The sequence below is a fragment of the Homo sapiens genome, chromosome 13, assembly GCF_000001405.40.
Source record: "Homo sapiens chromosome 13, GRCh38.p14 Primary Assembly".
Lineage (NCBI taxonomy): Eukaryota > Metazoa > Chordata > Mammalia > Primates > Hominidae > Homo > Homo sapiens.
This window is the reverse complement of record NC_000013.11, coordinates 101,138,333-101,154,100: the sequence shown is the minus strand read 5'-3', so window position 1 is coordinate 101,154,100 and position 15,768 is coordinate 101,138,333. Positions and strand designations below refer to the sequence as shown.

The window sequence follows — 15,768 nt, the reverse complement described above, 5'->3', positions numbered from 1 at the left end:
ATATCCAGCACGCGTGTTTACTGCTTCACCTACCAGTTGTTATTCTGAGAAATATTCCTGGAGAAGATGGTTTTGGAAGGATTTATAAGAGTTAAATAAGTGTATTGCAGGCATGGGGAGCAGTATCTTCATGTGACATCCCTGTGTGAGGGGGGCACAGACCTACAGGTTAGAGCATAGAGGGCAAAGCACTGGAAGACCCGCTTATGCCATGCTAAGAAGATTAGAATTTCTTCTGTACATAATTGATAGTCTTTGCATTACTTTAAGGACCAGAGGGACATAAAGGTATTTCTTTTCTAGATGTTCTAAAAGATTGGTTTAAAGGGAAAAAACTAAGACAGAAAGCCAGTTAGGAAGGTTTCAGGAGTCTCAACGAGATGAAATTTGGATGACCAATTGACCATTGGATTCAGCAAAATGGGAAATACGCTGACTTTGCCAAGAGCAGCCCCACTGAGGCAGGGGGGGACACCTGAGACAGGAGAGGCTGGAAGAGGGGTGGGAAGCGATATAATGGTGCTGTAAGCATCTCTTTGAAGAAGCAACCTTAAATAGCAAAGGAGGCATGATCAGGAGAAATGGTTTAACTGCCTATTTTCGTTTTCATTTTTACAACCAAGAGTCTTGAGAAAACAATCCAATCAACATAGCAAACGAGAAGAAATTGGGGAAAGAGGGAGAGGTTGAGTTGTCTCAGATTAGCCAGAGGGAAGGGACTCAAGCACACATATGTGTCACCCCATTCATATGGGTGAAGTCCTCCTCCTGTAGAGCAAGCAGTCACTGTGGCATGGTGATAGCTTTGGTTTGTATAGCACATTTCCCTTGAGTAATTCAAATTACAGGCATATTGCTATCTCACTTACACGTCTGGCATTTATATGAAAGACTAAAGATCCTCATTTTTTATTTGAGAACACTGAAATCCAAAGGGGTGAAGAGATTATAAAACTGAACAAAAGTTTAAATCCATGTCTTCTTACTTTGTTTTTTACTGTTTTTACTTATGCTATCTCTGATGTTTTATAAATTAAAAAAAAGAGAAAAATTACATGGGAGTGTATGTGCGTGTTTGTGTGTGTGTAAGTGTGTGTGTGTGTATCCTGAATTCCCTTTGGTGTGACATTTTTCCCTAGCACTTAACGAAGAATCATCTCACAATAAGAACCAAGTATCTAGTTGACATGAAACTCTAATATAATTTCCTCTGAAGTGGAGCAAAAAAGATATATACTTTTTTTTATCACACTGAGCATATTTCTATGACTCAGTAAATTCTCTGATGGAAACAACTGTGTCTCAGTGGAGTAACAAAGGACAGATATAATATAAAATAGAGATGTTTGGGACCTAGAAGAATAAACCTACAAAATCAATCTTTATTCATCACCACTGTCTCTAAGAAATTATTAATTACATTAATGGGATATTAAAGGACAATAATATGAGCAAAATGTGCTCATTCAACATAATTAGGTATTCTGGATTTGAATAGTTTTTTTTTTCTTTTACTAATTCATTAGAGTTGTTGGTTAGCTTAGCCTTGCTGCAAATATTATCTATGTTGTTGCACAAAGTAACCTTCTGAAGGACATTTAAAGCTTGTAAGATCTTAAGGGTTGTGATAACAGCATGAAAGTAAACATTTTATGCACACTTCAGGGATATCATAAGTGGCAGGAATGCAACAGTCTGTTATAAGTGCTCTGCTGAGCTCCCAAACCAACAAACACAAAACAGCCACTTAATTGCCCAGTGCATCCGCCCCTCCGAAAACAGAGCTTCTCTTCATACTTACTTAAGGGACATGCTGCTTGGACGAATGAGTAACCAGCCAGGATACAGCACATGCAGTTAATCAGCTAATGTTATGAACATTTTGGATGTCAGCTATCACATAAAAATGTAGCTTTTATGGCCCATAGGCTAACCAAGAAATGAGCCCTCCAATTTCTATCTGTGGCTTCAGTCGATGCGTCCAAATAATTGAAAACCCCACTTTGACCTTGGATATACTGGGTGTATTAAATATTTTTGTAAAACGGGGAAAAATTAGTGACTTAAACATGTTTTTTGATGAAACGTTTGAAAACTGTACAGTATCGCTGTCTTCTATGCACTAATTTGACTTGGTTGCCTTTTGTCCACAGCAGAAAAGACAGTGCCCACCCACCTGAAGAAATTCTGTATTGGATTTCACAGGCCAGTGAGGGATATTCTTTGTATTTGCATATTAAGGTTTTATAATTACACAGAGGTATTATTAAAAACCAACATGTGTGATCATTATTCCAGATGCCCCATCTGTTTTGACTGTGCGATTTGGGTTGTAAAATCACATATACAAATTAGCAAGAGAAACTCCCTTGAAAAATAATAGTTTACGCCTTAGCAAGACTCTATGTTCTGAATTGCTATGTCATATATATAGATACAGAAAAAATAGCTAAAGCCACTGTGTAAAGAAGCAAAGAGACTTCAGCCTTAATTTATTCACATAACAAAGAGGAGGGACTCCTTTCTTCTGATTGAAGATAATGTGGTTATTTTTCCTATATTGAACAACCAAAAAATATTCTACAGTTACATCAACTCACAAATCTATGCACAGTTTTCAAACTAACACGGACTAGATTTCAAAATGAGAATCTCCCAAGTCTGAATGTTTTTTAAATTGTTTTCTTTTGGGAAATCATACCAAAAAATTACAAAAATTTTTATTTAATGTAATTCTTCAATTCAGTTATTCCTCACAGCAATCAGAAAGGAACTGAAACTGAATAATGTTTGAATATTTTAACAGAAGAAAGCACAGGCTGAAATAGGGAAGATTTAAGCGATGAGGCAGAACACAGTATGTGTCGTGCAGAGCAATTACACCCGAAGTCTCTTGAGAAGTCAGGGAAAGCAGAGGATTTCAGCCGCCCGATGTGTAATGATATCTCAGCCAGGCAGATGCTGAGCCGTAGAATAGCACTGAGCTTAGACGACTTCTAGTTTTAAAGCTCAAGGTTTGAAGTTTGTTTCTTTGATTCTAATTTCATTCTTGCAAATGTGCTTTTCTTTACCATGTGAATGTGTGACAAAGCTATCATTTGATCTCTCGGTTGCAGCCAGACTTCATGCTCAGCTGAGGCCATTATAAACTTCCTTTGTACTGTTCTTTACATTAGATTTTTCAATATGAGAAATAAAATCCTAGGATTCTCTACACTGTGTTCTTTTCCTTCAAGAATCATGATCTTAAAAACACTTTTTAAATGGACATTTACAATTATAATTACTTTATGTTAAAAGATCTTCTTTTCTTGGTATAGTATAATGATCTTAAAAATTCATAACCACTTCTTATAATATATATTATTCATTCATTTGCATCAAAGTAAATTTAATCTTGCAAAATCTTTGCTTAAATGCAAAAAAGGGGAAAGAATTTGGATAAAAGGTAGAATACCATTTCATTACATTTTAAAGAAACTTAATAGTGGCTTCAAAATAACATGTAATACTTTGTGTATCATGGTCACCTCATCCCCCACCACCAACACACACCCTGTCTACTCCCATCTTACTCTTTCTTCCTTTTTCTGTGTCTGTAGCTTGGTCAAAATCATGGGTTGGGAAAGACGTCAAAGTTTTGGTGGCTGATAGTGCCGAAGTAAGAATGGAATAATTTTGCTTAACTGCATCATCTTCCCTTTTGAAAAACTTTTAACTGAACTCTAATATACATATAGAAAGAGGTATAGTATACATTTTTGTAAACTGAACACACCCAGCACCCTGCTCAGGAAATATTGACTGTGCCTTAGAAGCTCCTTTCCATACTCCCTCCCGCTCCCCGCCACCCCCACCCAGGACGACCACTCTGCAGACACCCGGCAGCACACGTCAGTGCCACCTGCTGGTTTAACTTCCTCCACGTGGAATGGAGTACATACAACAGTATGTACTCTGTTGTTGCGTCTGGCTCCCTTCACTCAATGTTATGTTGTGAAATCCACATTTCTTACACTGAGATGTAGTTCACTCATTCAAATATTTAAATAAACCCAAATGTATTTTCCCACTCAACTGCTAGTGGGCATTTGGACAGTTCACATTTTGGGACTTTTAACAACTGACACTGCTGTGGCCAAGGGAGGGCTTGTGCCTTGTGGGTGTGCACGCAGTTCTTGCAGGCACGCACCTAGGAGAGGATCCACAGGGCTGCTGGATTTACCTGTGCTCATTTTTAGTTGATGCTGCTTCTCTCTTAATAACAGCAAAGAGTGCATGGGAACTGCTGTCCAGAAGAACAAGTCCTTGCTTTTAGGAGGTTTGATTCAGTGCCTCAGCCATGAGATTCAAAATACTCACCCTTCAAGCAGCCGCTCATCCTTCTCTGTGTTAACTGGCCCTTAATGCACAACTGTAGGGCAATGATGCCAGGTTTGCACAATCGTGAAGAACCTTCTGAGTCTCCAAAAAGAGCTTCCCGTCTGTTCTTTGTAGTTTCACAGCGCAATGACCAAGTTGTGCTGAGTTCTAATTCATTTATTTACAAAGAGTTCTATTTCTACTCCCTAGAATGTACTATAGAAGTAAATTTAAAATGGTATCTTGTTCCTAAGGAGCGTACAAGCTTTGGGGAGTGTAAATATCTCTAATACCAATTAGAATGCGGGTGAAACCCATTTTTAAAATGTGTAAACAAGGTGACTGTTGGTATCCTACATATGTTAAACAATATATTCAAGGATATTCGATAAAATATAACTTGCCATTTCTCCAACATGTCCCTTTATAATTTTTTTTTTTTTTTTTTGAGACAGTCTCGCTGTGTCCCCCAGGCTGGAGTGCAGTGGCACAATCTTGGCTCACTGTAAGCTCCACCTCCCGGGTTCACGCCATTCTCCTGCCTCAGCCTCCCTAGTAGCTGGGACTACAGGCGCCTGCCACCACGCCCAGCTAATTTTTTGTATTTTTAGCAGAGACGGGGTTTCACCGTGTTAGCCAGGATGGTCTCGATCTCCTTACCTCGTGATCCGCCCACCTCGGCCTCCCAAAGTACTGGGATTACAGGCGTGAGCCACTGCGCCCAGCCTACAAAATTTTTATATCTGTACTTTGTCTAAACATTCATTAGTTTGTCAACGACAGACATCAGTTCAGGTTAAACGACACAGGAGTCTAATTTTATTCTCTTCTGTGAATCTAAGGACACGCATACTCCACACTAACAAATTTATTCAATCAATCAATAGATATTTTATGCTTATCTCTCTACCCTTCAGGATATATCTAAAATCTTTTCTTTTATTTCCCAGTTGTCTGCTGGAGAGTTTAGCTTAGAGTTGAGTTCCGCCACCTGATCAATACCATTATTCCTTCACTGAATATTTGCTCAGCTCACCTTGTGTCCAGTGCCATGCCAGCCACTGCCCGTGGAATAATGAGCAGAGCCCTGCATGGTTCCTGTCCTCACCAAGTTTACAGTCTCAGGGAAAAGAGAACTGTTGTGCAAGGGGTCACACAATATAGTGTCAAACGACAGTACGAGTAGGGGGTTTAAGGCATTCCCCCAAAATTTTTGTCCAGCTGGATCCTCAGAATGAGACCATCTTTGGAAATTGGGTCTTTGCAGAGGTAACCAGTTAAGTTAATTGTTCTGGATGGTCCAGTGTTTGGCATCTATAAGGAAAAGGAGAGGGGGATTCAGATTCAGAGACACAGAAACACGCAGGCCCAGAAGGCCATGTGGTGACAGAAGCAGGGATGGGGTGTTACAGCTACAAGCCAGGGAACTCCGAGCATGGCTGAGAATCATGAGAAACAAGAGAAAGGCAAGGAAGGACTCTCGCCTGGAGCCTTCAGAGAGAGCATGGCCCTGCTGGCGCCTTGGTTTTTGACTTCTAGCCTCCAGAATGCTGAGAGAGTAAATTTCTATTGTGTTAAGCTAATGATCTAGTGGTAATGTGTGACAGGAGTCCTAGGAAACTAATGTATTGTGGATTCAATTGACCCGTAAGAAATTGCAGATGTTCAACTGCTTTGAGCCACACAAACAGCAATATTATAGGATTCATCCTACCATGTTATGAGCTTGTAAGAGGAAAACTTTGTCAGAGAAAGCTTCTGTGAGGAATTTCTAGTGGAACTGAAATCTAGAAAACAAGTAGAATTTGATGGAGTTCAAGAGAAAAAGAGGAAGAAAGGGGAACCCAGCAGAGGGCCAGCAGAGGGCCGGCAGAGGTGGGGGAGGCACAGAGGTTCTGAGGCAGAGGGTGCAGATGTTTCCAAGCAACTGAAGGATGTGACTGGAACCCGGTGTGGGGATAGAGCTAGCTGAGGCTGGACAGGCAGGGAGGGGCCAAAAAAAGGCCTCTGAGCCTAGATTGAAGATTGAGATTTTGACCAGGCATGGCAGCTCGCACCTGTAGTCCCGGCTACTCAGGAGGCTGAGGCAAGAGGATCCCTTGAGCCCAGGAGTTTGAGGCCAGCCTGGGCAACATTGCAAGATCCCATATCTTTAAAAAAGAAAAGTTTATATTTTTGTTTTTGTTTGTTAAAACAAAAGTTTTTTTGTTTGTTTGTTAAAAGCAGTGGGTAGCCAGGTGTGGTGGTGCATGCTTATAATTCCAGCGACTCAGGAAACTGAGGCTTGAACCAGAAGGCAGAGGTTGCGGTGAGCCAAGATCGCACCACTGCACTCCAGCCTGGGAGACAGAGCAAGACTCCATCTCAAAAAAAAAAAAAAAAAAGAGAGAGAGAGGAAGAAAAAGGCAGTGGAATGCCATTGAAAAGTTTTAAGACAGAGCGTGAGAAATGGCAATAACCGCAGAATGAAGAGCAGATTAGAAAGAGCTGAAGCAGATGGAGAAAGCACTGCAGGAAATGCAGGAACCCAGTGGTGCATTGGCCAGGGAGGCACTGGTGGGGATGCAGGCAGTGGGCAGGCCTAGAGGCTTTTAGGAAAGAACTCTGTGTTCTCATTTCAATGATATGTCCCAATTAATATACCATTTGCCCTTGTGTCTGTTTGAAGACATTGAATTCTCATAAAATATGCATACCAGTCCTGATACATCTAGAGCCCCCAAGTCAACTCTTCTGACCACGTGTGTCTATTCTGCTGCCCGTGAAGTCTCGTGGAGTAGAAGTAGTGCCTTCATTTTTTTTCTTATTTCTCTCTTTGCTCTATACCTTGTGTTTCCGAGCACTCTGTTCCTATATCTGCCAGAGTGGCCATTCTATTTTATTATCATTGTCTCTTTATAGAACTATCTACCCAGTTATACTGTGGGCTCCGTGAGGGCGAGTGCAGTGACTTATTTCTTTTTATATCCCCTGAGCTTAGCACAGAACCTGACCTGTAAGATTTGATTTATAAGTGACAGTATCAATGTATAAATAAATGAGTCAGCAAATGCATGAATTAACAATACTTTATTTCTGCTCTGTCTTATCACCTTTGGCCTGATATACCTGCCTTACACTCTGATCTGATCTAATAGATTAACTGCTTTTTCTACTTCTGCTCTATTTACCACTGACAAGTATTTTTCTACTAGTTGTATCAACTTTTAGAAAACAAGACTCTTCCTGGTAAATCTCTTTACTCGTGTGTGGAATCATTTTTCTAACTGTGTACCTCTCACAGAGATGCTACTACTTTTTGTTTTGTGTCTTTGGGAGCTAATTCCTTACCATTGTCATCATCATAACCATGGAACTGTTGAGAACGTGCCATTTTGCACACATTACTGCGTTGAGCACTCCAGTTAGGAAGGGAGGAAGGCAACGAACAGCAGTGACTCCTTCTCCAAATAAGATTACCATCTAAGACAGAAAAACCAAAGGCTACCCACAAAATCAAATCAGACTTACAAATGGCTAAGGTAAATGTTTATGTTACACAAAACAAAAACATAAGAGCGATTTCTGCAGCCTAATAAGAAAACCAGAAATCAGGATGTATAATCTCATCATGAGCTCACAACCAATAGGATAGTTGAGTCATCCATCATATTGAAATGGGAATGTTTCCCCAAAAAGAAGCCCTCCTGTTCTCCTTAGCCAATTTGTATTTCCACATATAGGAGGGATGCATTGCCATCTCTCTTCCTGTTTTAAAAGCTCTCTTGGCCTCTAATTCTTATCTTTCCATAATTCCTAAAACAAATTATAGAGTAAAACCATACCCAACAAGGAGGTAAATGAGTGGATGATTTTTGAAACCCACCCCCCAAATCCCTCCAAAAAGGCAGCCTGAATTACATGTACTCTTTGAAAGGCATCAGTGTTAAAAGATGCAGTTTGGGAAGCCGGGACAGAAGACAGGGCAGACGTGGGGAAGGGTGTTCCACTCTGCAGAAGGTCCTGGAGAAGGGGAGAGGTAAACAGAAGTAAAGAGGGACTCCAAGAGACGTCGGCACTGGGAGAGAAAAAGAGAGCATAGGAAAGTATAGCATGAATTCTGGAAGCCACAGTCCACCTTTGTAGTATCTTAGTTCAGCCTTGTTCCAGTTTATGATGTTAAACCTGAGCTTCCCTGAAACTCAATTTGTAGAAATATAAATATACACTCTTAAATAAATCCATTTGATTGTCATTCCTCACAAAGATATCATATGGCATTTAAGTTCGTCGTGTCCAAGCATGTTTGCAGCCAAATGGAAAACTCGCTGCATGGACCAAATGTGGTATTTGTGTTTTGAGCTTTTCTGTTTTAATCTGCTAGGCGACATAACCAATTTTCCTGCCATTGTCTCTCTTTACAAATGCTACTACTTAGTATGATTCTGTAGTTAATTTTTTTTAAATTTTTCATGGTTTTTAAAAATTTTTAATTCTAGCGTTAGGCATGTGTAAACAAATTTTATTGTTTAAATATGCAAGTAATAGTAAACCATTAAAAATGTCTGAGATGAAAAGAGACTTGTCTTTGGGAATAAAATGACATAAAGTTTTCCTTGAATTTTTTTCTGGTTTAGTTTTTTTGTTGTTAAGTTTTGTTTTTGTTTTTTCTGTTAACTCAAAAGTTTTAGCTCATAGAGCAATTTATGGCGGGCAAGAGAGGTATACTTGGTAGGCCTTTGCTGCCATCTACTGGCATTTCATGTAATTACTTATTGCTTCCATTCTAAAACTAATTTTGTGTAACGTATATAATAGTATTATAGGTTCCCCCTTTTTTTCTTCTTTCCAATTTTTCTTTAGTTAAAGCAAAGTGAAGCAAATGCGGACACCAAAGAAAAGCTCCCTTTACGCCTGCGAATCTTTGAAAAATTTCCAAACAGACCTCAAATGGTGAAAATCTCAAAGCTTCCTTCAGATTTTACAGTTCCTAAAATCAGGTACCAAAATACTTCTTTAATTGCATATTTCACATATATTGTAAAAGATTCATCATCTTAAATCTGATTTAACCCTTCTTTTAAGTATATGTGGGTTGGGTTTCTTTCTATTTTATTGTCATCTTTCTACTACCTCTACCTCTATTTAAAATAAATAAATAAATAAACAACTTTGACTCTTTTAAGCAATGTATTCACAGAAGAGTCACTTTATAACTGCAGTAGCCTAAGCAAGAAGGCTGCTTCCCATCGCTTCTCTCTGGGATGACTCCTCGGGAATGGGACATCCCAGGAAACTGGAGAAGCTGCTCAGTGTTGCAGGGATGGCAGGTAGACATCAATCTCAGACCCCAACCGTATGAGACTAAAATTGCCTCTGTGGCCCTTTTATTTTCAAGCAAACAGGGAAACCACAGCTGGCCCAGTTTGTGTACTACTACAGTGTTTATGGAGCCTACCATGTCAGGTTACCATATATAATTTGCCTTCCACTTTTTAAAAGAAGAACCGTGGCGTTTTTCCACTCATACTGATTTGATTTTCTACCACGTTTGCCCTCCAGTTAAGCAAATGCATAAAAGATGCTTTAAACACCTATTTTTAATAATAAAAGGAAATTCTTCTAGTTATAGCTCAAGAAATTACAAACAGAATTACAGTAATATGTTACTAGCTTTAAAAATAATTCTGTGGGGGGTTATAAAAGTATGAGACTATATATGGTGCCATAATATTTAAAATTCGGGTAGAAATATATTTGCATTTCTAATTTTAAAAAACAAAATTAATTGAATTTGGTAATTTGAAGAGACGTTACTTGAATTTTCGTTATGCTTTGAAGATCAGATGAACGCACTTGCTTTTGAGTCTTAAAATGTAAAATTCTCTCTTAGTCATTCTTATGATAAATGGACATTTAGAGAGAGCAACTAATTCTTCCAAGTCTTAGAGGGGGAAAAAAAGTGTTTTATTACCACAATAAGATTCAAAAAACTGGGCTGGGTGCGGTGGCTCACACCTGTAATCCCAGCACTTTGGGAGGCCGAACCGGGCAGATCACCTGAGGTCGGGAGTTCGAGACCAGCCTGACCAACATGGAGAAATCCCATCTCTAGTAAAAATACAAAATTAGCTGGGCGTGGTGGCGCATGCCTGTAATCCCAGCTACTCTGGAGGCTGAGGCAGGAGAATTGCTTAAACTCGGGAGGCGGAGGTTGTGGTGAGCTGAGATTGCACCATTGCACTCCAGCCTGGGCAACAAGAGTGAAACTCCGTCTCAAAAAAAAAAAAGATTCAAAAAACTACCATCGGTTACTGAGTAATATTGCTTGAAAGTTATTTCAAGGATATTGCTTTTTAAGCAGGAGTCACTGAGTTTCAGGAAGCTGTTGCTAATGAAATATTTTAGTCATGATCTAGTTTTCTATGATCTTTTATCACTGCTTTATCTTTGCTCAAGCAAACTCATCATTGCAAAATGCTGTCACTTGCTCCCTTCCACTAATAATGCCTGATGCACATATACTTCATTTGCAAAGGGAGAGTTTTATGAAGCAGTTTATTGACCGCCAGCAACAGGACACATGTTGCCTCCTGAGAAGCCTCCCGACCACCTCTTCCTCCTCCTGCGACCACTCCAAACGCTCAGCAATTGAGGACAACAAATACATCGACCAAAAAGTAAGATCTGCTGTTTCGAATAACCAGGCTTCTAAAAAGCATCTATGTTTGAGAAAAGAACCGCAGAGTTCTTTAGGGTCCTGGAATCCAATTTCTCAAGAGAATAATGAAAATAAAATGATTTCATTTGTAAAAGATATCATGAAACCTAACATTTTTTACTCTATGCATTGAAATTTTGCATTTGCCCGTGTAAGCTTTTGAGCTGCGCCACGTGGCAGCCATGCGACTTTGTAAACATCAAGAGCCTCCCAAATCTGCATTTTCTCAGGTGCGGAATAAAGGGCTGGGATCTCCAAGGCTCAGTCCAGGTGTAATGACCTGCCATCTCCTGCAAGTACAACTGCTTATGTCTACTTATTACATCAGAGAGGATACGAGAGCATGTTTCTCTAAAATCGGTCGAAAGAATTGCCATTTATTCAATGCTTAGTATGTGGCAGGAACTTAGGTGCAAGAGCTTATTCATGTTCTAGTTTACCTATTTCTTTATCATTTGAAAAGTAGAAGGGAAAATTTTTTTCAGATTCCACAGCAAAGTATCAGTAGGGAACCACATATAAATAAAGCAAATTTAGGTAATAATTTTAAAGAAATGTACTTTTTCATTTATTCACTTTTAAAAAAAATAATATAAGGGCTGTGTGCCATGGCTCACCCCTGTAATCCCAGCACTTTGGGAGGCCGAGGCGGGTGGATCACTTGAGGTCAGAAGTTCGAGACCAGCTTGGCCAACATGGTGTAACCCCATCTCTACTAAAAATACAAAAGTCAGCTGGGCGTGGTGGTGGATGCCTGTAATCCCAGCTACTCGGGAGGCTGAGGCAGGAGAATCACTCGAACCTAGGAGGCAGAGGTTGCAGTGAGCTGAGATTGTGCCACTGTACTCCAGCCTGGGCAACAGAGTGAGACTCCATCTCAAAAAAAAAAAAAAAAAAAAAGACATAGAATGTATTATCTAGGTATAATAAGTAAACATATTTATATATACACACATAGACATATAAATGTATATGTGTGTATATATGTATGCATAGTATCAAACTATATATATCAGCTTGGTCACATAATCAATGTCAGTTCAGTTAGAAAATGAAAGATTAATAATTGTCCTTTAATATTAAAGAGATTAAACAGTAGAGTTTGCAAAAACATCTAGTTCACTTGCAAGTATTCCACTTTGGCATTCCTAGAGTGTTTTTTATTCCTTTACATTGTTACTGCCCTTTTTCTTTTGCTTATAGTGAAATCCATATTTCTCTATGATCATGTGACAATAAAATGCCAACTGTTTCATCCTCCAGGATCTTCTTTCTCTCCGCTTTCTTTCCCTTCCCACAGGGATGAACCCTTTGGAATTCCCTCACCTTTCTCTTTATCTCGCCTCCCCTTTTTCTCCTCTTTCTTGCCTCCCCTTTTTCCTCCTTTTTCACCTCCCCCTTTTCTCCTCCTCTTTCTCACCTCCCCTCCCCTAATGTGATACTACTCCCGTTTACCTCTCCCCCAGCTCCCAGGTTCTCTGCTGTAGTTCAGTCATGTTGCTCTTGCTGAAAATGATGATGATTTTCTTTGCAGGATGTCTCTTCTTTTTCAAGGATTTCCATGTGTTGATTTTCCTTCAGCCATCTAGAGATGCTATTCTACTATCTTTGCAGAATCCAAGATTGTAAATGACAAGTCTGATGCCAATGTCATTTTTTTTTTAAGTAATTAGCCTTTTGGTTGGTAGACTTGGTTTGCTTGTTTCTTCAGGAAAACTTGTAAGATTTTCTGTGTATCCTTGGAGTTCAGAAGCTTTCTTAGAATATACCTTATATGTCTTTTTTCATCAGAACTGCTCCAACTAGAGTCTTTTCAGCTTGCCAACTAAGATATTTGCTCAGGGAAATTTCCATTTATTTTGCGTTCAATTGTTACTCTTCCATCTGCTTCTCTCTCCCCTGGGATTGCCATCTCTCTATTTTTGTTCTGTGCTTGGTCTTCCAGGACACTAATTAGATTTCAACTGAGGTCATCCTTTGCTTCTAAATTTCTCGTGAAAAATTATGATATGGACATATGACCCTTAACTATCCTTAAAGGCTTGCATATTACCCTTAGCTGTCCTTAGAGGCTTTACTTTTATCTTTTATTTTTATTTTTTTAGAGATGAGATCTTGCTGTGTTGCCCAGGCTGGGGTGCAGTGGCTATTCACAGGCACGGCCATAGTGCACTATAGCCTTGAACTCCTGAGCTCAAGTGATCCTCCTGCCTCAGCCTCCCGAGTAGCCGGGACTATAGGCATGGCCACCATGCCTGGCTTTTTTGATTTTTTTAAATTAAACTTATCACCTCTCTTCTTCACAGTTATAATCCACTCAACACTGTGCATGGGGCATGGAAGCAGAAGGTCATATGTCAGTGGATAAACAAGTGGGAAGATAGTGCCTTGGCTTCAGCCAGTCAGTCTGAAATTGCAGTTTGCGTGGACTAGAAAGCAGGTTGTTTTGTTTTGTTTTGTTTCCAAAGCAGATTGTAAGCCAGAAGTCTGGGCTGTCCTTGTGACCACTTATCTCCAGGAAGAGGATAGAGAGCTGATTTCCATTATGGCCAAAGTCACAAAACCATGACATGCTTTTAAAAATCACTGGTAACACTACCCCACTGGAAACACAAAATTGAAATATGAGTTTATTTTCTCTCTAAAAGGAAATGTGATTGTTTCTCACATTTCCTGAACACAGTATTTTGATTTGGTGAGGACAAAGATAAAAAGAGTCTTGAGAGGCATGTGCCGGGCTGAGGAGGAGTCTAAAGAGAATGTGGCCCGCCCCTCTGTGCGCCCGCCCGAAGCGAACCCTCCCCAGGTACAGTTGGAATAACACGTTTTATCCCATACAACATGTCTTATTGCTCCCACTTGGAAAGTGGAATGTCAAAAACATACTTTTTCTTCATCAGAGGACCCTATTATGGGAGTGGCAAGACAACTGCTCCTGTTACTATCCACGCTTTCTTAAAGCTTTGATTCGATCTAGGTTGTCAGAAAAGTAGACTTAATTCTTTTCAGGATCCACCATTTTCAGCAATAGTTCCCACCAGTTCTTGGTGTTCCTCATAAGACCTTAGGATTTGTCAACCTTGTTGAGTGCCCCTGGGCCAGGGAAATCTAAAGCAGAAAATCCCTCTTCAAAGGATTTCAGTGATAAGGATTTAATGGAAGCACAAATTGCGGAGACAGCATTCTGGCATTTGTATTATGAATACGGCAAGCCTTTTTCATTTTTATTAAGAAACCCGAAAGCCACTTAAAAACAAGAGCGCATAAACACAGAACAAAAATCCCCGTCACAGACCCTACCACCATTAGTTCCCCTTATAAAGTATTTTTCAGCGAGCACTTAGAAATTTCCATTAAAATCCCAATTGCCTTTGGAAATCCTAGTCACAGTAAAGTGACAGGCAGGGTTCTTCACTCTACGTGAAAAAAAAAAACCACCCAGCCCTCTGCAAATTGTGCAAATTGAGGCTGTGTTTCCTCAGTGACTGGTATGAAAGAAAAAGGACATTAGAGGCTGGTTTATCGGTGATTCTCATAACATGAACAAAGGAACAATAAAATAAAACTGTTCTCTTAATGGTTATCTTGTACCAGGAGAAACTTCTGACTTCACTATGCTAGAGGGAATCACCTTTCTCTTTCCAGGGAAAATAGTGAAGCCCCAGGTGCCTGAAGACTGCAAGTTCAGGGAGAAAAAAACAACAACTGACAGCAACCCCAGAAGGGGGCTGGGGTTTGATGAAGCATTGCAGAAAACACAAAAGCACATTAGGCAAGATTTTCTCCCAGTAATTACCCAAGCTTTGAACAGGGATGAGTAATTCCCATGGCAACCTCACTTTGCAGAAACCATGTTTTTAAAAATAGCCCTGGTGGATCACCTTTATTATACAGTTTAAAATACCTGTCCTTCTCCCAGAAAACAACCAGCAAACAAAAATCTTTAAAATCTTGGGGCTGACCCAGATCCTAAAAGGAAAAGACAGGAAAGAGTGTTTTCCTGCCTGTCGTTTGAGACTCCATAGAAACGACCTTCCCAAGTGGTCATTTCCCCATCCCTTTATCCTGCTACCTACCGTTCCTGTGAGCAATTGTGAGAGGTTCCTTTTCTTCCTGATTCAAGGATTTTGACAGGGGCTTTTCCAGTTTCCAAGCAGAAAGAAATCAAGCAACAATTTCTACTTGTATTTTTCCTCCATATTATTGAAATTAAACTCTAGTTTCCTTAAGCAGAGTGGTGATTAATAAAGTGAGATCTGAACTTGACTTTCCAGTAACCCTGTAATAAAAGCAGCCCGCTCTGTTCTCCGAAGTGAGACATCCAGTCAAGGTCAAGGTCTCACCTGTGGTTGAGTCTACAGCGTCTCACTGCCCTGTGGCCTGAGGATGGTTCTGTGCTGCTGTCTTGGCTGATGCACCATTTCTTATGTCAGAACCTGCAATAGCCTGGGAAGCATGAGTGAACCTCCTGGAGCCATGCTAGGATGAGGGCTGTCCCAGCACCTCCACCTCGTGCCCCTGTACTTCCCAGCATAGAATCAGAGCCCACATAATAATGAACAGTGAATATTTTCTCTGACAGTAGGGCAATATCTGCCCACCCTCTTGTCAGCCTCCTTTCTGCTGAAGCATATGATAGTTCTTTAATAAGCCTTCACAATGAACAGCTAACTTATGTACAGTAAAGAGGAAAATGATCATTGGAA

The 15,768-nt window shown here is 40.0% G+C and overlaps 1 protein-coding gene across 10 annotated transcripts in view; it reads left to right on the top strand.

Annotated features, from left to right (window-relative positions):
• Nucleotides 1-15,768, top strand: part of NALCN (sodium leak channel, non-selective) — a 363,404-nt gene that overhangs the window by 263,079 nt on the left and 84,557 nt on the right. For all 10 annotated transcript variants that reach the window (XM_011521069.3, XM_011521067.3, XM_024449336.2 and 7 more), the window contains 2 exons: nt 9,205-9,341; nt 10,880-11,021. In XM_011521069.3, the coding sequence (XP_011519371.1) occupies nt 9,205-9,341; nt 10,880-11,021 (279 nt within the window). The remainder of the gene's footprint in view (nt 1-9,204; nt 9,342-10,879; nt 11,022-15,768) is intronic.